This window comes from Homo sapiens, chromosome 19 (genome assembly GCF_000001405.40).
Source record: "Homo sapiens chromosome 19, GRCh38.p14 Primary Assembly".
Taxonomy (NCBI): Eukaryota; Metazoa; Chordata; class Mammalia; order Primates; family Hominidae; genus Homo; species Homo sapiens.
This window is the reverse complement of record NC_000019.10, coordinates 53,431,974-53,459,945: the sequence shown is the minus strand read 5'-3', so window position 1 is coordinate 53,459,945 and position 27,972 is coordinate 53,431,974. Positions and strand designations below refer to the sequence as shown.

The following is a 27,972-nucleotide window of genomic DNA, read 5'->3' as shown; positions in this document are numbered from 1 at the left end:
TCCCCTTCGCTGTCTCAGCCTCCCGAGTAGCTGGGATTACAGGCATGCGCCACCACACCTGGCTCATTTTGTATTTTTAGTAGAGACAGGGTATCGCCATATTGGTCAGGCTGGTCTTGAACTCCCGACCTAAGGTGATTTGCCTGTCTCCACCTCCCAAAGTGCTGGGATTACAGTCATGAGCCATTGCGCCTGGCCTCTACGTAGCTTTTGGGCAACAGATCGAGACACTGCCTCAAAGCAAACAAACAAACAAAACAAAAAACTGATGTGATCTGCCTGCCGCTCCTAGCATCACCTTCAACACTGTCTTGTCCCAATTCGAAATGAGTTATCCATTTACAAATGGTTTATTTCTTTTGGGCATCATCTCCATAACCTTTTCATAAAGTATCAATGATTCCATTATTCCTCTTCCCAAACTTTACCATAATTTTGTTGTTGCTGTTGTTGTTTTTTTGAGACGGAGTCTCACTCTGTCCCCCAGGCTGGAGTGCAGTGGCATGATCTCGGCTCACTGCAAGTTCTGCCTCCCGGGTTCATGCCGTTCTCCTGCCTCAGCCTCCCTGAGTAGCTGGGACTACAGGCACCCTCCAGCATGCCCGGCTAATTTTTTTTTTTTTTTGTATTTTTAGTAGAGACGGGATTTCACCGTGTTAGCCAGGATGGTCTCAATCTCCTGACCTCATGATCCACCCGCCTCAGCCTCCCAAAGTGCTGGGATTACAGGATTGAGCCACGCCGCCCGGCCCATAATTATTCTTTTATTGAGACAGTATCTCACTCCATCACCCACGCTGGAGTGCAGTGGCATGACCACAGCTCACTGCAGCCTCGACCTCCCAGGCTCAAGCCATCCTCCACCACAGACTCCACAGTAGCTGGCCCTGCAGTCAGATGCCACCATGCCCAGCTAATTTTTGTATTTTTTGTAGACAAGGGGGTTTCACCATGTTGCCCAGGCTCGTCTTGAATACCTGGGCTCATGTGACCCACCTGTCATGGCCTCTGAAAGTGCTGGGATTATAGACCTGAGACACTGCATCTGATCTCATCGTAAATTTGATGTTTCTTCTTGTTTCAATTTTAGCAGAATTTATATTGCTTTGATAGAGTCTCTTTTCAAACTCATGTCTTATCCTTCTGAGTGCCTTAAACTACAGCCTGTTCAGACATAACAGACTTGTACCAGTGTTTTGTTGCAAAAACTAAAATTCATGCAAATTTTCTCATAATAGGTATTTTTCCATGAACTTCTTCAAGATCCATTGTACTAGAAAACTGTATTCAAGAGGACATTAAAAAAATGTAGATATTCAAGTGCCACTTATTTCTGGGATGCAAGGATGGTTCAACATATTCAAGCAAATCAATGTGATATACCACTTGAACAGAACAAAAGATGAAAACCACATCATCTTAATAGAGAAAAAGCATTTCACAAAATTCAAAATCCAGTCATCATAGAAATCCTAAACAAAATAGACAGAAAAGGAAATTTACCTCAACAATAGAAAGACCGTCCATGAAATGACCAATGAGTAAACAGTCAAGCAGGGAAAATGTAATGCCTTTCCTGGAGGCTCTCACATGATGCAAGAATGCTCTCACCCCTTCTATTCAATCAATACTGGCTGTCCCAGCCAGAGCAATGAAATAGCAGAGGAAATAAAACTCATCCAAATCAGAAAGTAAGAAGTAAAATTATATTTGTTTGTAGATGACATAATCTTCTGTGTAGAAAATCACAAAGAGCCAACCAAAATACTACTGGAACTAAGTAACATAGTCAGTGGATTTGCACAATACAGTATCAGCACCAAAAATTAGTTGAATTTCCATACTTTAACAATAAACAATTTTAAAAGAAAATTTTAAAACACTTCCATTTGCTGGAGAACTTAAAGAAATACTTAGAAATAAACGTACAAAGGTCAGAAGTTTGTACCTTGAAATCTACAAACATTGATCAAAATGATTAAAAACATTGAGCTACAACCCATATTGATAGCTTGGAAAAATTAATATTGTGAAATGATTATATAATAACCCAATGTGATTTAGATTCAACATGATATCCATAAAAATCCCTATCAGTTTTTTTAAAGAAACAAAAAACAGGCTGGGAAAATGGCTCACGTCTGTTGGCCAGGCTGATCTCAAACTCCTGACCTCAAGTGATCTACCCACCTTGGCCTCCCAAAGCGCTCAGATTACAGGTGTAAGCTGATGTGCCTGGCCCAATCCTCTTAACATAAACACTAATGTCAATTAATGCTTGAACTCAATGTTAAGTCAATACAAACTCAAGTCAATGCTGAATTGACCCTAATGTCAATTAATGCTTGATGGTTTGCTCTACTCATTGCATATGGACCAACTACCTCCAAAATGAATTTTCTCATATTCTGCAAGGAGTGAACTCAGACTGAAGACCTTGGCACATTGATGACATTTGTAAGATTTCTGTCCAGTATGCATTCTCTGATGTCTCATGAGGTGTGAAGTGAAGGCTTTGCCACTATCATCACACATGTGAGGTTTCTCTCCTGTATGAATTCTCCTATGTTTTGCATAGGATGAAGCTTGACTGAAGACCTTGCCACAGTCATGACATTTGTAAGGTTTCTCTCCAGCGTTGAGTTCACCGATGAACTGCAAGGTATGAACAATGTCTGAAAAATCTGCCACATTTATTACCCTAGTATGATCTCTCTTCCTTATGGATTCTCCAGTGATTCACAATGGTTGTAGCATTACTGAAGACTTTGTGACAATCATTACCTTAGTAAAGTTTCCCTACACCATGGATTGCCTGACGGTAAACAAGTGTTGACTGCCTACTAAAGGCTTTGCCACACTCATTACACTGGTAAGGTTTCTCTCCAGTGTGAATTCTAGCATGTTGTGCCAGGTGCGAATCATGCCCAAAAGCCTTGTCACAAACTCTTACATTTTTATGGTTTCTCTCCAGTATGAATTCTCCTGTCTTTCACGGTTTGATGTGCGACTGTAAACTTTGTGACATTCTTCACATTTATAAGCTTTCTCTCCAGTATGAATTCTCCTGTCTTCTGAGGCTTGATTTGCCACTGTAAACTTTATCACATGCTTCACATTTCTAAGGTTTCTCCCCAGTATGAATTCTATGATGACCTGCAAGGTGTGCTTGTTGATTAAAAACCTCACCACATTCATTACACTTGTTTTTCTCCAGTATGAAGTCTACGATGGCATGTAAGGTTTGACTTCTGACTAAAGGTCTTGCCACACTCATTACACTTGTAAGGTTTCTCTCCAGTATGAAGTCTATGGTGGCATATAAGGGATGACTTCTGACTAAAGTTCTTGCCACACTCATTACACTTATAAGGTTTCTCTCCAGTATGAAGTCTATGATGGCATATAAAATATGACTTCCGACTAAAGGTCTTGCCACACTCATTACACTTGTAAGGTTTCTCTCCAGTATGAATTCTCCTATGTCCTTCAAGGTTTGATTTCACACGGAAAGCTTTGTCACATTCTTCACATTTGTAAGGTTTCTCTCCGGTATGAAGTCTACGATGGCATGTAAGGGATGACGTCCGACTGAAGGTCTTGCCACACTCATTACACTTGTAAGGATTCTCTTCAGTATGAATTTTCTGATGTATTTCAAGGTTTGATTTGAAACTGTAAGCTTTGTCACTATCTTCACATTTGTAAGGGTTCTCTCCACTATGAAGTCTACGATGGCGTTTAAGGGTTAACTGCTGATTGAAGGTCTTGCCACACTCCTTACACTTGTAAGGTTTCTCTCCAGAATGAAGTCTACGATGGCAGGTAAGGGATGACTTCCAACTAAAGGTCTTGCCGCACTCATTACACTTGTAAGCTTTCTCTCCAGTATGAAGTCTATGATGGCATGTGAGGTATGACTTCCGACTAAAGGTCTTGCCACACTCATTACACTTGTATGGTTTCTCTCCAGTATGAATTCTCCTATGTCTTTCAAGGTTTGATTTGAAACGGAAAGCTTTGTCACATTCTTCACATTTGTAAGGTTGCTCTCCAGTATGACGTCTACGATGGCATGTAAGGGATGATGTCCGGCTAAAGGTCTTTCCACACTCATTACACTTGTAAGCATTGTCTTCAGTATGAATTTTCCGATGTATTTCAAAATTTGATCTGAAACTGTAAGCTTTGTCACATTCTTCACATTTGTAAGGTTTCTCTCCAGTATGAAGTCTACGATGGCATGTAAGGGATGACTTGTGACTAAAGGTCTTGCCACACTCATTACATTTGTAGGGTTTCTCTCCAGTATGAAGTCTATGATGGCATGTAAGGGATGACTTGTGACTAAAGGTCTTGCCACACTCATTACACTTGTAAGGTTTCTCTCCAGTATGAAGTCGATGATGGCGTGTAAGGATTGACTTCTGCCTAAAGGTCTTGCCACACTCATTACACTTATATGGTTTCTCTTCAGTATGAATTATCCTATGTCTTTCAAGTATTGATTTGAAATGGAAAGCTTTGTCACATTCTTCACATTTGTAAGGTTTCTCTCCAGTATGAAGTCTACGATGGCATGTAAGGGATGACGTCTGACTGAAGGTCTTGCCACACTCATTACACTTGTAAGGATTCTCACCAGTGTGACATCTACGATGGCATGCTAGGTTTCGCTTCTGATTAAAGAGCTTGCCACATACATCACATTTATATTTGTCTGCTAAATGGATTATCTGATGTTTCCTTAAGAGTGAGCTGTAATTAAAGGCTTTGCCACTCTCATTACATTGGAAAGATTTTTCTCTCATGTGTACTTCCTGTTTTTGTGTGAGTAATGAAGAATTCCAGAAATTATTCCCATGGTTATTAGATATATGGGTTTTGGGCCTACAAGAAATTCTTTGGGCTGTTGAAACCAAGGAAGCATCGTGGACAGACTTCACAACTTGATTATCAATTTTCTCTTCGGTCTGAAATATGTGCATTTCAGGCAGATGCGAATGAAAGCTTGATCCAAGCTGATCTTTAATAGGCTTGTTTCTAGCATGACTTTGATCATATCGTTCTGTAATACCTGTCAACTTTTTGATTTTTGTCATGGGTGCTTCATGGCCATTTCTTTCATCTTCTTGCCATTGAAATTCATAGTCATGAATATCTTTATCAACATCCTGGTAGCAAAAATCTCCATTGTGATGACTTTCATGTATTTGCAATGTCCCTGCATGGAACACTTCTCTGTTGCCTTGCGCTGTTGACAAGAACTCCTTCATCGTGCATTTGGAAGAGATATCTACAAAACATAAACACCGAAAGCTTTCAAATTAAGTACAGATGGTAAATAATGCTGAAATGTGTAAATACGACACAAAAAACAATAGTTATTTTAAACTTTCCAAACATGACCCTCAAAGTTTAGGAACAGAAAAGCATAAGATTCTTTAACAAATAAAGGGCGATTACATGTGCTTCAAATTATTTTTACGGAAGTCTATTTCCAAGATCGTGACAAAACATTGACAGGGCACAAACATGTGTAGCCTAAAGTAAGGAATATTTTTCCATTGTGACCCTAAAGTGTCTAACAGTTTGTAAAAAACATATCACTGTCATATCAATGAAAAGTATATATTCTTCATATTTACAGCATATTTACTGTATACAAATAAATGCTAAAGGACCACACGATATACTATATTGGTAAATAATCCACAACAAGCTCATGTAAGGATAACCAAAATCAATGGAAATTCTGTATTGTCAAACAGTCATAGCACTGAGAAGACAAGAAAAGATTACAAAATGTAGCCAGGCGTGGTGGCCCACATCTAGTCCCAGCTACTCGGGAGGCTGAGGCACAAGAATTGTTTGAACCCAAGGGGCAGAGGTTGCAGTGAGCCAAGATTTCACCACTGTACTTCAGCCTGGGTGACAAAGTGAGACTCTACCTCAAAAAAAAAAAAAGTTAATACAATGTTTTTCTGAATAACTGTCATAAAATTACCTATATCCATGAAGAAAAGGCACGTTGTGACATTAAAACATTTTTTTTATTTTTATATTTTTGAGATGAAGTTTCACTCTGTTGCAACTGGCTGGAGTTCAATGGCCTGATCTCGGCTCACTGCAACATCCACCTTTTGGGTTGAAGCCATTCTCCTGCCTCAGCCTCCTGAGTACCTGGGATTACAGGCACACACCACCATGCTTGGCTAATTTTTGTATTTTTAGTAGAAATAGGGTTTCAACACGTTGGCCAGGCCAGCCTCGTACTTTTGACCTCAAGTGATCCACCCGCCTCAACCTCTCAAAGTCCTGGGATGGCAGGTGTGAGCCACAGCATCTGGTGGCACTGTGTGACATTAGCTAGTGGACTGTGTCAGTTATATTGCATACCACATACCGAAAAGCCTCATGTACAATCATAAAAATTAATTAGTAAAATATTGTAATCCATAAAACCAGGAAGCAAAGAATAAGTACATTTATACAACCTGCAAAATTCTAAACAATTCCATTAAGAAAAACGCCAAACTTCTACTTACAACCAGCACACAATATAAAAACTGAAATACATGTTAAGATCACTACCATCTGATTTATGAGGTCAAAGAAGTGCACAGCATTATAAGGAATAAGAATTGACTAACAGCCGGGCACGGTCTGTAATACCAGCACTTTGGGAGGCTGAGGCAGGCGGATCATGAAGTCAGGAGTTCGAGAGTAGCTTGGCCAACATGGTGAAATCCCAACTCTACTAAAAATACAAAAAAATTAGCTGGTCGTGGTGGTGGGTGCCTGTAATCTCAGCTACTTGGAAGGCTGAGGCAGGAGAATCATTTGAACCCAGGAAGTGGAGGTTGTAGTAAGCCGAGATTGCACCTGTGCATTGTTGACCTTAATTATCTAGCTCACTATGCACAAAATATAAAACACAGAATGTGCACTGGGAAAAATTTTAAACTAAGATCAGAGAAAACATTTTATAAATCAAATTGCACAATAAAAACATAAAAAATATGATGCAGGCTACCTGGTCTGAATGTTCATATTGGCCAAAAGCCATGTTCAGAGTTCTTATTCTCCAAAAGGATGTTCTGCAGATGGGGCCTTTGAGACAATTTGGTCACGGGTGTTGACTACTCGTGAATAGGACTTGTGCTTTCATAAAAAGAGATATTAAAGAGCTCGTTGCCTGTTCCTGTTTCCACCATGTCAGGACACGGCAGGAAGATGGCTGGGCTAAACCATGAAGAATGCTCTCACCAGGAACCAATTTGGCTGGCACCTTGCTCTTGGATTTCCCACTTTCCAAATTCATGAGAAATAAATTTCTGTGTCTGAAGCCTCCCAGTTTAAGCTATTTCTCTTTTTGTTTGTGTTTGAGACCGAGTCACACTCTGTCACCCACATTGGAGTGTAGTGGCATGATTCTCCTGCCTCAAGAGATTCTCCCGCCTCAGCCCGAGTCTTACTTTGTCACCTGGACTGGAGTGTAGTGGGGCAATGTTGGCTCACTGCAACCTCCACCTCCCAGGTTCAAGTGATTCTCCTGCCTCAGCCTAGTGAGTACTTGGGATAACAGCCATGCGCCAGCATGCCCAGCTAATTTTTGTATTTTTGGTAGAGACAGGGTTTCACCACGTTGGCCAGGCTGGCCTCGAACTCCTGAAATCAGGTGATCTGCCCCTCTCAGCCTCCCAAAGTGCTGGGATTACAGGCTTGAGCCACCACAACTGGCCAATTTCTTGTATTTAGTAGATTCGAGGTTTCACCATGTTGGCCAGACTGGTCTCAAACTCCTGATTTCAAGTGATCAGCCCACCTTGGCATCCGAAACTGTTGGGATTAGAGGTATGAGCCACCTCGGGTGGCCAGTCTAAGCTATTTCTGACAGGACAGTGAAATGACTGAGACAGGAACAGGAGCATCTCATCAACATCACCGAGGGCTGAAAAATCTGATTAAACAAAGGAAGTTTAGAGCCTGTACTATAAATCTTAACAATACTTGAAGCCATCTAATAGCAATAACATGTTTTAAAAACTTTGAGGCTGGCCAGGCATGGTGGTTCACACCTGTAATCCCAGCACTTTGGGAGGCTGAGGCAGGAGGATCACGAGGTCAGGAGATCGAGACCATCCTGGTTCACACGGTGAAACCCCGTTTCTAAAAAAAAAAAAAAAAAAAAAATTAGCCGGGTGTGGTGGCATGTGCCTGTAGTCCCAGCTACCTGGGAGACTGAAGCAGGAGAATCACTTGAACCTGGGAGGGAGAGGTTGCAGTTAGCTGAGGTCGCACCACCGCACTCCAGCCTGGGTGACAGACCGAGACTCCATCTTAAAAAAAAGAAAGAAATGAAAGAAGTCTAAAGAGTAACTCCAACCCACAGATATATATAAAGTTCTCCAGTAAAGGTAAATAAAAAGACAGACAGGCTGGGTGCGGTGGTTCAACCTGTAATCCAGCAGTTTAGGAGGCCGAGGTTGGTGGATCAGTTGAGGGCAGGGGTTTCTGACCTGCCTAACCAAAAAGGAGAAAGCCTGTGTCTATTAAAATACAAAATTAGCCAGGCGTGGTGGCACACATCTGTAATCCCAGCTACTCATGACACTGAGGCAGGAGAATTGCTTGAACCTGGGAGTTGGAGGTTGGAGTGACCCGAGATTGTGCCATTGCACTCCAGCATGGGCGACAAGAACAAAACTTCATCTCATCAACAAATAAATAAATAAATGAACAGGCAAATAAAAGGACACATAAACTGTTATAAGTGTACCTTTTCTTCATAATTCAACTTTTTTTCCTATTTAGAAGAAAAAAGCATGAAAACACAGTATCCATATAGGTTGATGAAAGTGCAACATACACAGAAATAATTCTGACATAAATACAGAGTTCTAGTGGAGAAATAGTTTTTGCAGGTTATGGAATTTTTTTTTTTTTTTTTGAGACAGAGTCTCGTGCTATCGCCCAGGCTGGAGTGCAGTGGTGCAATCGGCTCACTGCAACCTCCACCTCCTGGGTTCAAGTGACTCTCCTGCATTAGACACTTGAGTAGCAGGATTACAGGCGCCCATCACAGTGTCCGGCTAATTTTTGTATTTTAGTAGAGATGGAGTTTCGCCATGTTAGGCAGGCTGGTTTTGAACTCCTGACCTCAGGTGATTTGCCTGCCTCAGCCTCCCAAAGTGCTGGGATTACAGGCGTGAGCCACTGGGGCACAAGAAACATTTGAACCCGAGAGGCGGAGCTGGCTGCGGTGAGCCAAGATCGTACCACTGAACTGTAGCCTTGGCGACAGAGTGAGACTCCATCATAAACAAACAAACAAAAGAAGTAAATAAAAGAAGGGAGTCAAAGCATGTCTACACAAAAAAGCAATTAAACACAAAAAGTAGTAAATGAGAAATGAAGAACAAAAAAAACCTACAAGAAACACAGATAATATGTAACAAAATCACAAGGGTAAGGTCTTCTCCATCAGTAATACTTCCACTGTAAGTAACTCTGCATTCAGAAACCAAAGACTGGCTGAATCAATAGGAACCAACTACATGTTGTCTACAAGAAACTCATAGACTCATATTAGCCTTAAGGACACACATATGCAAATATTTCATTTTATTTTATTTATTTTTTTGAGATGGAGTCTCACTCTGTCACCAGGCAGATGTGCAGTGGTGATCTTGGCTCACTGCAACCTCCGATTCCCAGGTTCATGTGATCCTCCTGCTTCAGCCTCCCAAGTAGCTGGGATTACAGGCCCATGCCACCACACCCGGCTAATTTTTCTATTTTTAGTAGAGACGGGGTTTCACCATGTTGGCCGGGCTGGTCTCGATCGCCTGACCTCGTGATCCACCCACCTTGGCCTCCCAAAGTGCTGGGATTACAGGCGTGAGCCACCAAGCCCGGCCACACATATGCAAAAATCTTAAAAATAAAAGCCAATAATTAGGTATGGTGGTTGGCACCTGTAATCTCAGCTACTTGGGAGACTGAGGAGGATCTCTTGAGCTCAGGAGATCAAGATGAATTTCAACAACACAGCAAGACCCTGTCTGGAAAGAAAACAAACTAAAAAATTTGCCCAAACATGGTGGCATGCACCTGTACCAGCTACCGGGGGAGGCTGAGGTGGGACAATCACTTGAGCCAAGGAATTCAAGACTGCAGTGAGCCATGATCACACCATTGCACTCTACCCTGGGTGACAGAGCAAGACACTGTATCTAAAAACAAGAGAAAATACAAAGATACACAAGGGCACATTCCCACTTCTGGAGGGAAGTTATCCTCACCCAGGGAGACCAGGTTCCTATAATTCTCCAGCATCACGTCCCTGTATAGAGTCCTCTGAGCAGGGTCCAGGCATTTCCACTCCTCCTGAGAGAATTCTATGGCCACATCCCTGAATGTCAATAGACCCTGAAATGAAAACACATTTTAACCAAATGGTTATGAGAGGAGTTCTTATCTTTACAGAAAATGAGAAGAAGAGAGGTGAAGGCATGGATTTAAATGCAGTGAATGTTCTAACAAATCTGAGTAAGGGATTTTTCACCGCATTTTGTCTTCCCAGTTGTGTTTTACTAAAATTTTTTTTTTTTGAGGTGGAGTCTCAGTCTGTCACCCAGGCTGGAGTGCACTGGTGCTGTCTGCGCTCACTGCAACCTCCACCTCCTAGGATCAAGCGATTTTCCTGCCTTAGCCTCCTGAGTAGCTGAAATTACAGGTGCATGCCACCACAACCAGTTAATTTTTGTATTTTTAGCAGAAACGGGGTTTCACCGTAATAGCCAGGTTGGTCTCAAACTCCTGACCTCGTGATCTGCCTGACTCAGCCTCTCAAAGTGCTGGAATTACATGCGTGATCCACCGCGCCCGGCCCAGAAACTTTTATTGACACAGCAAGTGACATTCCGTATCTAGATGAGACAGAGTACGGGTGATGTCTTCAGAGATGACAACATTCACAGTGAAAGATGAGAAACTAAAATCTGGCTGGGCACAGCGGCACATGCCTGTTATCCCAGCTACATGGGAGGCTGATGCAGGAGAATTGCTTGATCCCAGGAGGCAGAGGTTGCAATGATCTGAAATCCCACCACTGCACTCCAGCCTGGGCAACAGAGACTATATCTCAAAAAAAAAAAAAAAAAAATTAGCTAGCCATGGTGGCAGGCACCTGTGGTTCCAGCTACTTGGGAGCCTGAGGTAGGAGGATGGCTTGAGCCTTAGGGTGGAGGTTGCAGTGAGCTAAGATCACGTCACTGTGCTCCAGCCTGGGCACCACAGTGAGACCCAGTCTCAAAAGAAAATATATGAAAACTAGATTAGTCAAAGTATGGAAATCCATTATATCTCATCGATTATATCTCATAACGATATCATCTCATAAGTCTCATAACGATGTAGAAATACACGTGAACGGGACTTGCTCTGACACCTGGCACAGAACTGACAGTAGTGGCTCCCCAGTGAGGCTGGAAGGAGGGTGGAGGACGTGACAGGGAAAGGAGATGCATTATGGCAAAAAATCTAAGCTGCAGCTTTGCTTGGAGTTTTACCACAAAACAAATGGATACATCATGTGATGGTTAAATATAAAAATATGTATTTAATAATAATTGGTGGGGCTGGGCATGGTGCCTCACACCTGTAATCCCAGCACTCTGGGAGACTGCGGTGGGCAGATCACCTGAGATCAGCAGTTCGAGACCAGCCTGGCCAACATGGTGATACCCGTCGCTAATAAAAATACAACAAAATTAGCTGGGCGTGGTGACGCACGCCTATAATCCCAGCTACTTGGGAGGCTGAGGCAGGAGAATCACTTGAACCCGGAAGGTGGAGGTTCCCGTGAGCCAAGATCATGCCACTGCACTTCAGCCTGGGTGACAGAGCAAGACTCTGCATATTTAAAATATAATATTATCATAACATAATAATAAAAATTATAAAAACGTTTAATGAAAACACCTGTTTCACAAGCCTCTCCACGGTAACACCACAGTCTCCATGAGCGTAATGTGCTAAGAATGGTTTAATGAATCTCCTGCTATTGTTCAGGTTGATTTCCTATTCTTAAAATAATGACAGAATAAAACATCTTCTATCTTTCATGTCTGTGTATGAACTTTCCATTCTAATTACTAAGATTTTTGGAGTCAGAAACACAGTAACTCACTCAAAAAACTAAAAATGTATTATAAAATCAGGCAGAAAACATTTCTCGATCTTGGTCACCTTTTCTAGAATTTACCACATACTTTGTGCACATGAATACATGACTTCCATTGGCAGCTGCTCTAATACTGGTCCACAGAGAGCTGACAGTACGTCCAGATGTGGCCCCTGAACAATCCCTGCTGTCCAACAGCACTGACACCATGGGACCCTCACCCCGTCTCCATCCATGTCTGGGTGTGAGCCCTTCCCAAGACCATGCCCAGTGCAGCCTCTTCCCAAGTTCATCTCACTGGATCACGAGAGATGGAATCTAAGCGAGATAAGAGGGACTGAGGGAAGGCATGGGTGAATGTGAGCAAACCTGTCAGGCAGGATGCTTCAGACTCAGAGAAGATTCCCAACTCCAAGGCCCAGCATTTCTGAAAGGAAGGAGACAGAACAATCCACTGAAAATATCATCTCACCTGAGAAAAAGCCATCCCTGACTCCTTTGCTCTCCTCTTCCTCTTCCGGGTTTCTTCCTCACGTACCAAGAGTCTTTAGAAGTCAATCCTGAATGTTAGAAATATGTTGTTTATTGCTCAGAATCAACACGCCACCTCCGTGGAACACAACCACACATACAAAGGCGACCTCACCCTGGGAAATATGGTCCCGTCTGCTGCCCACTGCACCAGGGATGATAAACTGCCACAGGAAAACTCGCACTTCTTTCCTAGAGGAGCCCACACACACGCTGCAACAGTGGGAGCTGGGCTGGAATGGGCTCCCCTTCCTGACCCAGCCCTGGGTCCCTAGACCCAGCCCTGACCAAACCCCATGCAGATGCTGGGTCTGGTGCCTCATGCCTGTCATCCCAGCACTCTGGGAGGCTGAGGCAGATAGATCTCTTGAGCTCAGGAGTTTGGTGAAACATGGTGAAACCCCATCTCTACCAAAAATACAAAAACTTAGCCAGGCATGGTTGTCCAAGCTACTTAGGAGTCTGAGGTGTGAAGATCACTTGGGCTCAGGAGTTTGAGACCAGCCTGGCCAACACTGTGAAACCCTGTCTCTACGAAAAATAAAAAAACTGAGCCAGGCTTGGTGGCTTATGTCTGTAATACCAGCACTCTGGAAGGCTGAGGAGGGTGGATTACTTGAGGTCAGAAGTTTGAGACCAGCCTTGCCAACACAGTGAAACCCCATCTCTACTAAAAATACAAAAAGTAACTGGGCTTGGTGGTTGTTTGTAATCCCAGCTACTCAGGAAGTGGAGGCAGGAGAATCGCTTGAACCCAGGAGGTGGCAGTTGCACTGAGCCAAGATCATGCCATTGCACTTCAGTCTGGGGTGACAGTGTGAGACTCAAAAATAAAAAAATATATAAAAATAAAAATACAATAATTAGCCAGGTGTGGTAGCACATACCTGTAATCTCAGCTACGTGGGATGCTGAGGCACAAGAATCACTTGAACCCAGGAAACAGAGGTTGCAGTGACCCAAGATCATGAGACTGCACTCACAGCCCGGGCAATACTCTGTCTCCAAAAAAAAGAAAAAAAAATTCTGATGTGATTGATGTAGAGATAATAAAACCTGAGTAACATGATAGAGACTGATGGGCAGAGGGAACTTCAGATGGGGTTGGGAGGGCATGGGAGACATCTCTGAGCCTAGACCTGAAGAAGAAAGGCACAGGGCCGTGATCATTTAGGGACATAGGGTAAGAGCAGGGACAGCAACCTGAGACAGGAAGGGTTTTGATATCTGGGAAAACAGAAAAGCAAATGTGACTGGGGCAGAGGGAGTCATGAGATGAGGGCAAGCTCCCAGGAGGAGGCTGGACACTGGCAGGGGCCCTGGTCACAGGGCTGTGGAGCCACAGTGAGGAGTTGGGCTTTTGTTCTGGGGAACACGGGAAGCTGGTGGAGGGTTCCCTGCCAGGGACTGACGTGACCTGCTTTAGATTTTGCTGTGATGTCCTCATACAGAGAAAGGCCTCGAAGATGGTCTCTGTGTCTGAGTCTACACCTCTATTTCTTCCATTCTTTCACGTTTTTTTAAAAAATTTTTTTTAATTTTATTTTTGGGGTACTGCATCCCATTTAAAATTCTAATTACAGCTGGGCACTCCCCTCTGCCAGAAGAAAGGCCACGCCAAGACATGCACTATTTTGCCGATCATTTCAGGGGACTGGGTCACTCGGGTTGAGCTTTTCTGGTCTAGCCCCTCATCTCCAAGTTGCAGGGAGGCTCACTGGGGCTCAGAGCAGGGAAATTTTCACCAAGTTACCCTGAGAAGGTCTGAGATGAGTGAGAAGGTGTGCCTGAATTCTTACATGGGGGCCTGGAAGGGCTAATGGGAAGGCTTGGTCTTTATCACCCCTATCCTTGAAAATTACAGAAGCATCTTTCACAGGCCTGGGCTAAAGAAACTTCTTTTGCAAGGTTCTGATGCCACTGATTCCTGACATTTAATTTTTCCTTAGAAGAAAATCACAGTAACATTTATAAAATGCAGAAGTGTGAACACACAGCTATTGACCTTGAAAATAGCGAAAGAGGGTCAGCTGTAGAACTAAGACATAAGCAAATTTTTTCAATCAGGAATACATGGGTGGCTGGGAGCAATGGATCATGCCTGTAATCTCAGCTACTCGAGAGGCTGAGGCAGGAGAATCGCTTGAACCCGGGAGGCGGAGGTTGCAGTGAGCCGAGATCACACCATTGCACTCCAGCCTGAGCAACAAGAGCGAAACTCCATCTGAAAAAAAAAAAAAAGAAAAAAAAGAAAAAAAAGAATCATGGGTGCTTTTAGAACAGCGTTCCATGTTGGGGAAAAGCTGAGGCAGGGCTTGCTAGTCTGACATAATATAAAGAGTCTTGGAACATGCCGGGGTCCAGGGCCTAAAACCCCTTGTGGTCTTTGGAACACCCAGCTCTGTGCCAAAGGGTGGAAGGCTGCCCTGCCAAATTACAACCTAAGCCCAAGGCATAAAACCCTGAAGGGGGGCCAGTCCCTCCACACCTGTGGCTATTTCTCATCAGCTGGGATAAGAGACTGAGAAAAGAAATAAGACACAGAGACAAAGTATAGAGAAAGAACACTGGGCCCAGAGGACCGGCGCTCAGCATACGGAGGACCCGCATCGGCACTGGTCTCTGAGTTCCCTCAGTATTTATTGATCACTCTCTCTACCATCTCAGTGAGGGGAATGTGGCAGGACTACAGGCTAATGGTGGGGAGAGGGTCAGCAGGAAAACGTAAGCAAAGGTCTCTGTGTCATAAATAAGTTTAAGGAAAGGTGCTGTGCCTCAATGTGCATGTAGGCCAGGTTTATGTTTGACTTTACACAAACATCTCAGTGCAGTAAAGAGCAGTATTGCCGCCAGCATGTCTCACCTCCAGCCATAAGGCGGTTTTCTCCTATCTCAGTAAATAGAATGTACAATCAGGTTTTACAGCGAGACGTTCCATTGCCAGGACGAGCAGGAGACAGATGCCTTCCTCTTATCTCAACTGCAAAGAGGTCTTCCTCTTTCACTAATCCTCCTCAGCACAGACTCTTTACGGGTGTTGGGCTGGGGGACAGTCAGGTCTTTCCCTTCCCATGAGGCCATATCTCAGGCTGTCTCAGCAGGCAGAAACCTTGGACAATACCCAGGCTTTCTGGGGCAGAGGTCCCTGTGGCCTTCTGCAGTGCATTGTGTCCCTTGGTATTTGAGACTGGAGAATGGTGATGACTTTTACCAAGCATACTGCCTGCAAACACATTTTAAACAAAGCACATCCTGCACAGCCCTAAATCCATTAAACCTTGAATCAACACAGTACGTTTCTGTGAGCACAGGGTTGGGGCTAGGGTTACAGATTAACAGCATCTCAAGGCAGAAGAATTTTTCTTAGTACAGAACAAAATGGAGTTTCTTATGTCTTCTTCTTTCCACATAGGCACAGTAACAGTCTGATCTCTCTTTCTTTCCCCAACAAACCCCTTGTGGCTTGGATGGAATCCAGGTTTCAGGGCATAAAACCCCTCGTGGCCTCTGGAATGTGCCTAGACTTGATGGTTCTTTGCTTCTAGCACTCCCAGACTCATAAAATGATTGTATCTTAAACTAGAAGAATATGTTCCCCATGATCTCAAGTAGCAGAACATGTTCCATATAAATGTTAACCTGACACACCTATAGATCATGTGCTTGATGCACTGCTTCCTTTCAAACCCCACATCCTCACCACCTGCTGCTTTGTTTGATCACTAATAGTGTGGGCTTCCAGAGCTCAGGTCTATTGCAGCCTCCATACTAGCGTTGGCCCCCTGGACCCACCTTATGCATTCTTAACTTGTCTTTTCTCATTCCTTTGACTCCACTGGACTTCTTAGCCCCCACAGCCCGGTGTTGGGTCTGATCACCCCAACAGTTCCATGCCAATCCATCCCATCTTTCAACATTAGTCCAGAATGGACCAGAGGGCCTTGAGGGAAACATGCACTTAATAGCTCACAGCTCAAGATGTTCACAGATGACATAAGGAAAGAAAACTGAAAAATACATTAACTGGTTAAACTACATTTTGATGTTAAGGTAAAAGGTCACTGATTCTTTACCAGGTACACACTGAAACAATCAAACTTTTGTATTAGGTACCGAAGTTTTCCAATAAATAATAAAGACTAGAAAGCATGCAGACCTTGATCTGAACTGGACGCAACTAGTTTCAAACAGAAACTATTTAGAAATTGTTTTTTTAAAAATCTAACAAATTCTGGGGTCAACAGGTAAATAACTGGAAAATATACTTGTACAGAAAAAAATGATGTGAGCTGATTATAGGATGTGACAAAGGCATCTTTCAGAAGTGATTATGTATTTTTTTTTTCACAACATGATTTTTAAAGACATTATGCATTGGGCTCACATTCCCTTAAATGTTGTTTGCAAAGGTTCTCAGCCTCTAGCCCAGCTGGAATCTCCAGGAAGAGGCAGAGACAGTTTGGTGAAAAAGAGGCAGGGAAGGAGGGGGTGGCAAAAGGAGAAAGCAGCCTTCCCGTTAAAGATCAGCCCTCAGGTAAAGGTCAGCTTCGGGCAGGCTGGCCTCAGGCAGAGTCAGGGTCAGAGGAAGGAGCAGCAGCAGGGTGGGACTGGGGCATTCTACATCTCATTCAGGTCAAGCAAAGTCTGGTCCAGCATCCTTTGTGTACAGAGGTGTTCCTCTTTGGTGCATTTCAGTTTATCTTCCAAGTCATCAATTGTCTTTTCCAGCTTGGCTACTGATCTCTCAGCCAACTCAGCATGGGTCTCTGCCTCCTTGAGATTATCAGTAAGAATCTTCATCTCTTCCTCACATTTGTCTTCTTTTTGAGAGTACTTTTCTTCAGCTGCACTCAGACACTTCAGGTTCTGGTCCATCAGTCTGATCTGCTCATCCATCTCTCAGCAACGGGACTCTGCCAGCTCAGCTCGTTCCTCTGTGCATCCCATGTCTCCTTCAATGATCACCAACTTACGAGCCACCTCTTCATACTTCCCATCTGCCTCATCTGCAATGTGCTTAGCTTCTTTGAGTTGGATTTCCTGGAGTTCCATCTTCTTCATCTTTTAAGGCCCAGATTTCAATAACCTTTGTATCTCTCTCACTCTCATCAGCAGCTTTTCCCGCTTCTTCCAGCTTTTGCAGGGCAGTGGCCAGGCGCTCCTGAGCACAGTCCAGCTCCTCTTCAACCAGCTGGATCCTACCGTTCACGGAGGCCACTTCAGCCTCTGCCTGTTCCCAGGCCCACCTTTTTCCCTCAGCTTCTCACTGGAGGTGCTCAGCTCACTCCTCTGCATCATCTGCCTGGTGCTGCAGAACCTGGATCTTGCGCTTCACTGCCTCGATGGTGGTGATCCCAGCCATGCTGCCCACCCAGCTACTGCTCACACTCCGGTTCCTCCTTCCTCCACTCGGCATTGCAGACTCCTCTCTGTGATTATGAATTAAAAAAGAAATTTTGAAAACTAAGATTTATCTCAGCCGGGCATGGTCATTCATGCCTGTAATCCCAGCACTTTGGGGAGGCCAAGGCGAGTGGATCACCTGAGGTCAGGAGTTCAAGGCCAGCCTGGCCAACATGGTGAAACCCCATCTCTGCTAAAAGTACAAAAATTAGCTGGGTGTGGTGGTGCGGGACTGTAGTCCCACATACTCAGGAGGTTGAGGCAAAAGAATCACTTGAAACCAGGAGGCAGAGGTTGCAGTGAACCGACATCATGCCACTACACTCCAGCCTGGGTGACTGCGTGAGATTCTGCCAAAAAAAAAAAAACAAAAAACAAAAAAACCCGAAACTAACATTTGTCTCAAACTGCAAAATAAATAAATAAGTAAAATAAAGAATTGAAGAAACAGAAATAAAATAAAGTAAATCTATTACACATGAAAACAAAAGCACTTTTGATGTCCCTTTTGTTTTTTATTTTTTGTTTGCTTGTTTTTGTGAGATGGAGACTTGCTCTGCCACCCAGGCTGCAGTGCAGTGGCAGGATTTTTGCTCACTGCAACCACTACCTCCCAAGTTTAAGTGATTCTCATGCCTCAGCCTCCCCAGTAGCTATGACTACAGGTGCACACCACCATGCCTGGCTAACTTTTGTATTTTTAGCAGAGACCAGGTTTCACCATGTTGGCCAGGCTGCTCTTGAACTCCTCACCTTAGGTGACCCACTCGCCTCTGTCTCCCAAAGTGCTGTGGTTAATGGCAGGGGCCACCACGTTTTGATATCCCTTTTGAAAAGTACTATGTAGACCAGGTGTGGTGGCTTATCCTTGTAATCCCAGTATTTTGGGAGGCCAAGGCAGGAAGATCCTTCGAGCTCAGGATGTTGAGACCAGCCTGGGAAACGTAGTGAAACGCGTTTCTACCAAAAATGTACAAAACTTGCCTGACTTGGTGGCTCATGCCTGTGACCTTAGCTACTCAGGAAGCTGAGGTAGGAGGATGGTTTGAGCCCAGGAGGTCGAGGCTGCAGTTAGAAGAGATCATGCTGCACTCCATCCTGGGCGATAGAGCCAGCCCTGTCTCAAAATACTAATTATTAATTAATTTAATTAAAAGTATTATGTAATAACAGAAATAGATTTTTTTCCCACTTCATTGCCCCACTTCCTACCCCATCCTGCAAAAAGGGAACAGAGTAATTCACAACTGAATAAGTCACTGCCCTCTGGCTGAATAGGGATTCCAAGTGGAAGCTGACCTCTATGCCAAGATTTATACAATGTACATGCCTTATAGATAGGAATTTTTAAGTTCTCAATCTCATCTGTATAATTTAAACAAATTTTAAGTTATTAGATTATATACACAGAAGTCAACATGTCACAAGTAATCATACCCAGTGAACTCACCCACTCATCTGAACCCAAAGTCCCCCACCCCTTTTATTCTTTTGAGACAGGGTCTCACTCTGTTGACCAGGCTGGAGTGCAGTGGCATGATCTCAGCTGACAGCAGCCTGGACTTCCTGGGCTCAAGTGATCTTCCTGCCTTGGCCTCCAGAGTAATTGGGAGCACAGGTGTGCACCATCATGCCTGGTTCATTTTATTTATTTATTTATTTTTGGCCAAGACGGGGGGGTCTCACTATGTTGCCCAGGCTGGTCTCGAACTCCTGTACTCAAGCAATGCCCTTGCCCCAGTCTCTGAAAATGGTGGGATTATAGGAGTGAGCCACAGCACCCAGCCTCTTTTTCAGGTACCAGTGCAACCTCATATGCAAGAAGAACAAAAATCATTATTTCAGTTAGCTAAAGAAATTCCTGGAGTATAGGCTGAGGACAACCCACCTGGTTTAGCTGTAAATCATGCACCAGTAGTAGCAGAATTAAAACCAGAAGCAACTCCTGTTCGGGTTCATCAGTACCCAGTTCCCCAAAAGTCTGTACAGGGCATCTGCAAGCATTTAGAACGGCTCTATAAACATAAGATTTTAGTCCAATGCCAGTCGCCTTAGAACACTCTGCTTTTGCCAGTTCAGAAGCCATTGCCAGGGCCAGGTTCAAATGAATACAGGCCAGTGCAATATTTGCATGCTATAAACCAGGCCACAGTAACTATCCATCCAGTGGTACCCAACCCGTATACTTTGATAGCTCTTATTCCAGCAAGTGCTAGCTTACAGTCTTAGACTTAAAGGATGCTTTCTTTCTTTTGTTATCTGTCTGGCACCAGTTAGTCAGCCTATCTTTGCATTTCATAAGAGAAAAGAAGCGTCACAGCTCTCCTGGACTAGACTCCCACAAAGGTTTAAAAACTACCACAATCTGGGGGCCTGTGGTCCCACCTATTCGGGAGGCTGAGGCAGGAGAATGGCGTGAACCAGGGAGGCAGAGCTTACAGTGAGCCGAGACCACGCCAGTGCACTCCCGCCTGGGTGACAGAGCAAGACTCCATCTCAAAAACAACAACAACAACAAAAACAACTACCACAATCTTTTTTTTTTTTTTTTGAGTCAGAGTCTTGTTCTGTCACCAAGGCTAGAGTGTAGTGGCACGATCTCAGCTCACTGCAACCTCTGCCCCCTCGGTTCAAGCAATTCTCCTGCCTTTGCCTCCTGGGTAGCTGGGATTACAGGCGCCTGCCACCATGGCTGCCTAATTTTTGTATTTTTGGTAAAGACAGGGTTTCACCATCTTGGCCAGTCTGGTCTTGGACTCCTGACCTCATGATCCAGCCATGTGGCCGCCCAAAGTGTTGGGATGAGAGGCGCAAACCACCATGCCCCGTTCTCTCCCACAATCTTTAGAGAAACATTGGCCTCAGACCTCATGGCCTATACCCTGCCAAGTAACAACTGTGCCTTGTTGCAGTACATAGACGAGCTTTCTTTGCCTGCCCCAACCTGAGAGGAGTGTTATCGGGGAACCCAGGATCTCCTCCATCTCCTATAGAAAGCAAGTTACAAAATATCAAAAAAGAAAGCCCAAATTTTCCATGAAGAGGTTACATATCTAGGTGTCATATTGAGCCACGAGGAACACTGGTTTGGCTATGAGAGGAAGCAAGCCATTTGTGCACTTCTAACTCCGACTACCCGATGACAAATAGGAATTTTTAGACGCAGCAACATTCTGCCACATCTGGATTCCAAGTTTTTCACTGATGGCTAAGCTGTTATATGACGCCACAAAAGGAGGGGAAAAGGAGCCCCTCTTTTAAAAAACTAACCAAGAAATAGCCTTCAAACAGATCAAGGAAGCTTTAACCCAGGCCCCAGCCTTAAGACTATGAGACATAACTAAGTCTTTCTATATGTTCATGAACAAAAAACAATGACTATAGGGGCTCTGACTCAACTTATAGGATCATGGCGTCACCCAGTGGCATATTTATCCCAACAACTAGACTCCATGGTGTTAAGATGGCCTCTTTGCCTTAAGGCATTAGCTGCCACCATCTTGTTAACACAAGAAGCTAGCAAATTAACTCTAGGACAGCAACTAACTGTCCCGGTGCCACATTCAGTCATAACTTTGATGGATCAAAGAAGGCACCATTAGTTATCAAACCTGAGGATGACTTGGTACCAAGGGCTTCTATGTGAAAACCCTTACACAACTTTAGAACACTAAACACCCTAACCTGGCTATTCTGCTCCCAGTCGAACAGGCAGCTCTTCTCCATAACTGTGTCAAAACAGTAGACGAGGTATTTCCCAATGAGAAAGATCTTACAGACAGACCCCTCAGAGACCCAGATGTCAAGTACTTCACAGGTGGAAGTAGTTCTGTGCTGGAAGAGTTTGGACATGCCAGGTATACAGTGGTAACATCAGACTCAGTAGTAGAGGCTCAGCCTCTGCCTACCGGAACATCAGCTCAAAAGGCAGAATTAATAGCCCTGACAAGAGCACTGTTGCTAGCAAAAGAGAAGAAAGTCAGTATTTACACTAATTCTAAGTATGCTTTTACTACCTTGCATGTACATGGAACTATATATAAAGAGAAAGGACTTTTATCAGCTAGAGGCAAGAAATAAAGTACAAAGAAGAGATTCTACAGCACTTAGAGGCTGTATAGCTTCCAGAAAAAGTAGCTATAATGCATTGCAGAGGCCACCAAAAGGCAAGGATGCCAGAAGCCAAAGGAAACAGAAAAGCAGACAGGGAGGCAAAGCAGGCAGCAATGATCACGCTGCATTTTAAAGAGGAAGCCTTAGCTATGCCTCTCCTCCCAGAACCTCCTCTCCAAGACGACCCAAGTTATACTCCAAATCAAAGATCCTGGTGTGCCAAGAAGATATAAAATGTATGAAAAGAAAGTAAAAGAAGTTCTTCTATAGGAGACTAGCCATTCCAAAGATGTTAGCTCCTAAGTTTGTGAAGCAAATCCATCAAGAAAATCATATAAGAAAAACAGCATTAGCAACGTTATGTAGTGCCATTTTTTCTTTTTTTTTTTTTGAGATGGAGTCTTGCTCTGTCGCCCAGGTTGGAGTGCAGTGGTGCGATCTTGGCTCACTGCAACCTCTGCTTCCCAGGTTCAAGTGTTTCTTTTGCTTCAGCCTCCCTAGTAGGTGGGATTACAGGCGCCTGCCAACACGACTGGCTATTTTTTTTGTATTTTTAGTAGAGATGGGTTGTCACCATGTTGGTCAGACTGGTCTTCAAATCTGGACCTCATAATCTGCCTGCCTCAGCCTCCCAAAGTACTGGGATTACAGGCATGAGCCACTGCGCTGGGTCACGAAAGTGCCATTTCTATGTGCCGTGGCTCTCTGCTGTCACTCAAGATGTTTGTGAACAATGATTAACCTGTGCTGAGAATAACCCACGACAGGGGCCCACTCAGCCCCAAGAATTCAAGAAGTAGGAGCCGTGCCTTGTGAAAACTTGCTTATAAACTTTAGCGAACTGCCCCGTGCCAGAGGCTATGGGTATATGCTATTGCTTATTTGCACCTTTTCAAGATAAGTTAAGGCTTTCTCCACCAGGGGAAAAGTGCAAGAAGTGACTAAAGTACTGATAAAAGACATTATCCCCAGGTTTGGACTGGCTCTACCTTTAAAGTCAGACAATGGGCCAGCATTCGTAGCTGAAATAGTGTAAGATTTCACAAGTCTGCTAAAAATAAAATAGAAGCTACACACAGACTATCAGTCACAAAGTTCAAGGAAAGTAAAGCGCATGAACTGGACACTCAAGCAGCTACTGAAGAAATACTGCCAAGAAACTCATCTGAGATAAGATCAGCTCTTTCGTATGGTCCTCCTCCAAGTCAGGTGCACCCCCACCAAACAAACTAGGTATTCACCTTATTAGAGTTTGTTCAGTCGGCCTGCCCTAATCATAAGTCAAATTAAAGGTGATCTCCAAGAACTAGAGGAATTAACTTTAAGCAAGCAAATGCAGGCTTTAAGAACAGCCATGCAAGAAGTCCATAACTGAATACAAGAAAGAATGCCTATAAGTCTGACAGATCAAGTACACCCCTTTCAACATGGAGACTCTGTTTAGGTTAAAAAGTAGAATCCAACTTCTCTAGGACTCATATAGGATGGGCCCTGTACTGTAATCTTGTCCACTCCCACTGCTGTTAAATTTGCAGGAATCATGCCATAGGTCCACCACAGTCAGCTGAAACCAGCAGTTCAGGACAAGTGGAACAGCCAGCAAGACCCAGATCATCCAACTCAGCCGATCCTGAGATGAGACCAAGCTGCTGCTGAGGACGACAGCCCTGCTCTGGTCACTCTGGAGGCTGACCAGTCTATGCACAGCTGAAGCTGGAGGGGACGACAAGCCCAGCTCTAGTCACACACCAGAAGCTGACTAGTCTACGCACGGCCGAAGCTTGAGGACTCGTCAAGCAAGTAAATGTGGTTAGAAATCTTAAGACTAGTAGTTTTCCTTGTAATACTAACTGTTTTATTATTGTTCTGTCGTTGTGCTCAACCTCCTCTGCCAGGCAAGGCCCTCTTCTGTCCTTGCTGGATATGAACATGCTGTACACTGTTTTGCTGTTGTCACCCCCCTTAACCATGGTAGAAGAAGCAACTATAGAAATGTGTCCCCACTGTACACATACTACCTGGTCAGGGAACAGGATAACTAAGACTCTACTGCACCATACTTATTATGAGTGTACAAGGACTCACTTAAGAACTTGTACTTATAAAGGCCAGGCACAGTTGCTCATGCCTGTAATTCCAGCCCTTTTGGAGGCCACGATGGGTGGATCACCTGAGGTCGGGAGTTCGAGACCAGCCTCACCAACATGGAGAACCCCGTATTGAATAAAAATACAAAATTAAACAGGCATGGTGGCGCATGCCTGTAATCACAGCCTTTCAGGAGGCTGAGGCAGGAGAATCGCTTGAACCCAGGAGGTGGAGGTTGTGGTGAGCCGTGGTCATGCCATTGCACTCCAGACTGGGCAACAAGAGCAAAACTCCATCTCAAAAAAAAAAAAAAAAAAAAAAAAAAAAAAAAGGACTTGTATTTATAGCCAGACGACCTACTCAGTTACTCAATTTGTGACCAGGAAATAACCAACCTTATGTATGTTATAACCCCAAGATTTCACCTGGTGAATAGTTTAAATTCGTGCAAGGTCAAAAGAAAGTCACCTCTTAAACCAAACCAAGGTCCCCCCCTTTTACCGATGGCCTATTTCTCTGTATTTTGATGCTTGTCCAACCTGTAATCCTGTAAATTTCACCATTCTAAAGCCAGACTTACCCATGCGGACTGCAGGTTACCCCATACGTGTCTCCACACACACCTACCCAGCAACCTACCTATATGTTATCAAAAAGGAACCCGGACCAGCAACAATTCCGAGTCTTTAAATCATTCCATAAGCATGTAGACCAGAAGTTACCAGAGCATCATCCTTTAGCTAAAAACCTGTTTGCTTGGTTAGCTGAAAACATTGATTGCTAGCAGCTTAAGCATTTCCTCATGTTGTTTGTAGAAGGACGAACATAGTAGACCAATGGCCTTAAGAAGCAAAAGAGTTAATGCCACAAGATAATTTAACTCTAACTGACTCTTCCCCCGAACCGATGCCCACAAGTTCAAGCACCTAGCTCTTAAAAACTTCTATTATCAGGAGATACTGGGTTGCTCACTAAGGAAAAGCTTTTACAGACTCACTGGAAGAATTAACTTGTTTAAGACAGCAATATTATAATAAAACACTAAAGAAAACTTTGTGGCAAGGCAAAGATGACTCCAGATCACCTCATCCAAACCCATTCTCCTGTTTCTCTTCTCTAAACCACACCTAGTATCAGCTTGAAGCTCCAAATACCTGGCAAGCACCCTCTGGTCTCTATTGGATCTGTGGGCCACAGGCCTACCGACAGTTGCCAGGAAAATGGACAAGGGCTAGTGTACTTGAAACAATTAGACCATCTTTCTTCTTACTCCCACTGCAACAGGGAGAAACTTGAAGGTATCCTGTCTACAATAAAATTAAAGAAAAAAACAAAAGATATATAGACATAAGGAAATACATAGAAATAGAAGATTAGAAAGACACAGATTTGCCTCCTGAAAGACTAATTCAGTACTCTAGGCCAGCTACCTGGGCACAAGATAAGTCACGAAGGTATTGCACCCCAATTTACACACTTAACCGCATCATAAACTCGCAAGCAGTACTTGAAATCATCACTAATGAAACAGCAAATGCATTAGACTTACTGGCCCAGCAAGCCACAAAAACGAGAAATGCCATCTACCAAAATAGATTAGCTTTAGACTACCTCCTAGCCTAGGAAGGAGGAGTATGTAGAAAGTGTAATCTAACTAATTGCTGCCTAGAAATCAATGACAATAGGAAGGCTATTAAAGAAATAACTGTAAGAATGAAAAAATTAGCCCACGTTCCAGTCCGGACTTAGACAAAATAGACTCTTGAGTCCGTCTTTAGAGGCTGGTTTTCCTCCTTCAGTAGATTCAAAACCTTAATAGGAGTAGTTCTAGCCATACTAAGAATTGGTTTGATACTCCCTTACCTCTTACCTCTCCGTGTTAAGAGCATTCAATCAACTATAGAAGCAATTGCGACCAGGCAGACTACCACTCAGCTAATAGCCCGATATAAATATCAGCCAGTGCTCTTTCATGAAGAATCCAGTAATAGTGATGTCTTCTAGTAAAATCTTGTTCATAAAAGGCATCTAAGGGAGAAAACTGAGGCAGAAAGTTAAAAAACAAACATGCATTCATTCACTCCAAGAAAAGTAACAGGCAAGGCAAGGGTTAAAAAGAAAAGAAGAACAAGTTTTCCTCTGCCTAGCAAGCTCGACTTGGCGAAGTCGAAGCCAAAGAAATGGGCTCCAGACAGCCCCCCACCTTCCCAGAACAAGAGTGAAGAAAAAAAAAAAAAGGACAAATGTGTGTATTTAGCTGTTCTTGTTTTTCTTTCAACTCAGCTACGAGGCCACCAGCTATGGAAGGACACAAGTTATGCTATGCTATAGATTACATGACCTATCATTATATGATTAACTGCTTTTATTCTGCTTCTGAAAGCAAAAAACCCCACTCCGTCTTTGTTGAAATGCTCAGCTTTTTAGATGTAAATCCACTGAGCCGGTGCGTATCTTAAATAAACATCCTTTTGTCTCCCCCATATCAGTCTGTCTAGTCCTCAGTTTCCCGCAACACCATCTCTGCGCCTCCTTTGCTCTCCCCGTTAAATTCTCTCTTCCCTGTTATACCCCCCTGTCCCCACTCTCTAGCACCCCAGATCCCCAGGTGTCCTCCCTGCTGTGCTTCTCCCTCTGTTCTCCTTGCCACCAGCACCACTCTGCTCTGTCTGCCCTGGCTCCAAATCCCTCCTCCTCTCCCTCACCCTGATGAGCCTCCCTCTTTGCTGTCCCTCTCCCTACCTTGCTGTCCTTCATCTCTCTGTACATCCAGCTTTTCTCTACATTTCTGCACTTGCTTTTCTCCTCCTGCTTTCTTATCGTTTTCTTTTCACTTTTGCTGTCTCTTGGCAAATCCCTCACCCATCCTCTACTTTGCCATCTGTTATAGGTCTTTCTCATTCTTCTTTTCTGTCTCAGGTTTTCCACTGCTCTCTGTCCGTCTCCTGATCCCTTTGGCCCACACAGTCACAGGAGGGTTTGGAGTAAGACGCCTGCATCCCGGGGGAGCGCATTTTCCAGGGGCTGGAGCTGGGCAGGCAGTAACACCCCGCGTCACAGGACAGGCCCCGGGCACCTCCCCAACGCGGGCTCAGGGGAAGCGGTGATTGTGGAGGCGAAACCCGTGGAGCAGCAGGGCCCGGCACAAGGAGGGAGGTGAAGGGGCGACAGCACCTTAAGGCAAGGGTGGGGTCTGCAGGATCCTAGGACCAGGCAGAGGACGCGGCCTTTCCGGGACTGGGGCAGCGGCGCTGGGCTCCAGGGGCCGACAAAGGCGAGAATCCACCTCTCAGGTGAGGACTTTAAAAAGCGCGGGGCGGGAGGAGTCAGAAAAAGGTTTACAGCAGGAAAACTACAGGTTAGAAAGTGTATACATTGCCCTGTAGCAGAAACACCCGGGACGGGACCAGCCTCAGGGGGACCTTAAACCCAAAAGGAACCGACCCACGGCCTCTCACGAGGTCGTCTCAATTTGCTCTGAGTGAAGGAAGACGGCTGAGAATTTCCAGGTTTGTGGGGATCCCAAGTCCCAGGTACAGAAGCGCCAGGAACCTGGAAGAGCAGACTTAATACAAGACAGGGCGAAACTCACGCGCCGCGGTGGCACCGTCACTCCACGCTATCCGCTTCCTGGTCTGCACGAATCT

The 27,972-nt window shown here is 44.2% G+C and overlaps 2 protein-coding genes and 1 pseudogene across 7 annotated transcripts in view, besides 1 other annotated feature; all 3 read right to left on the bottom strand.

Annotated features, from left to right (window-relative positions):
* Positions 1-1,684: 1,684 nt before the first annotated feature.
* Positions 1,685-27,962, bottom strand: ZNF761 (zinc finger protein 761). Of its 5 annotated transcripts, none has more exons than NM_001008401.4 (6): positions 27,918-27,962; positions 14,727-14,945; positions 13,609-13,719; positions 12,663-12,750; positions 10,308-10,434; positions 1,685-5,296 (listed from the first exon to the last, which is right to left on the bottom strand). In NM_001008401.4, the coding sequence occupies exons 4-6, from the start codon at positions 12,675-12,677 to the stop codon at positions 3,198-3,200; spliced, it is 2,241 nt and encodes a 746-aa protein (NP_001008401.3). In that variant the 5' UTR covers positions 12,678-12,750; positions 13,609-13,719; positions 14,727-14,945; positions 27,918-27,962; the 3' UTR covers positions 1,685-3,197. The 5 variants fall into 5 exon arrangements, 4 of the variants coding, with proteins under 4 accessions (NP_001008401.3, NP_001276880.1, NP_001276881.1 ...); NR_110551.3 differs by lacking the exon at positions 1,685-5,296 and adding an exon at positions 9,613-10,067 and having other exon boundaries at positions 14,823-14,945; NM_001289951.2 differs by lacking the exon at positions 14,727-14,945.
* Positions 1,685-27,972, bottom strand: part of ZNF765-ZNF761 (ZNF765-ZNF761 readthrough) — a 63,113-nt gene continuing 36,825 nt past the window's right edge. The window contains exons 10-13 of the mRNA NM_001350496.2: positions 13,609-13,719; positions 12,663-12,750; positions 10,308-10,434; positions 1,685-5,296 (exon numbers count right to left, since the gene is read on the bottom strand). Of these exons, the coding sequence (NP_001337425.1) occupies positions 3,198-5,296; positions 10,308-10,434; positions 12,663-12,677 (2,241 nt within the window). The 5' untranslated portion in view covers positions 12,678-12,750; positions 13,609-13,719 and the 3' untranslated portion in view covers positions 1,685-3,197. The remainder of the gene's footprint in view (positions 5,297-10,307; positions 10,435-12,662; positions 12,751-13,608; positions 13,720-27,972) is intronic.
* Positions 15,274-27,972, bottom strand: TPM3P9 (tropomyosin 3 pseudogene 9; annotated as a pseudogene). Its single transcript, NR_003148.3, has 2 exons — positions 27,918-27,972; positions 15,274-18,150 (listed from the first exon to the last, which is right to left on the bottom strand). The product of NR_003148.3 is annotated as a tropomyosin 3 pseudogene 9 (transcript).
* Positions 15,816-16,110: a silencer, noted in NCBI's record as "tiled region #10215; K562 Repressive non-DNase unmatched - State 17:Gen3'". NCBI's record gives its function as "represses a minimal TATA promoter and a strong SV40 promoter by Sharpr-MPRA in K562 cells {active_cell/tissue: K562}" and the evidence as "EXISTENCE:reporter gene assay evidence [ECO:0000049][PMID:27701403]".

Coding starts and splice junctions, on each gene's coding strand:
- ZNF761 (NM_001008401.4), bottom strand. Junction 5,297..10,307: donor TAGGAACCTGGTCTCCCTGG/GTGAGGATAACT, acceptor TATGTTTTGTAG/ATATCTCTTCCAAATGCACG.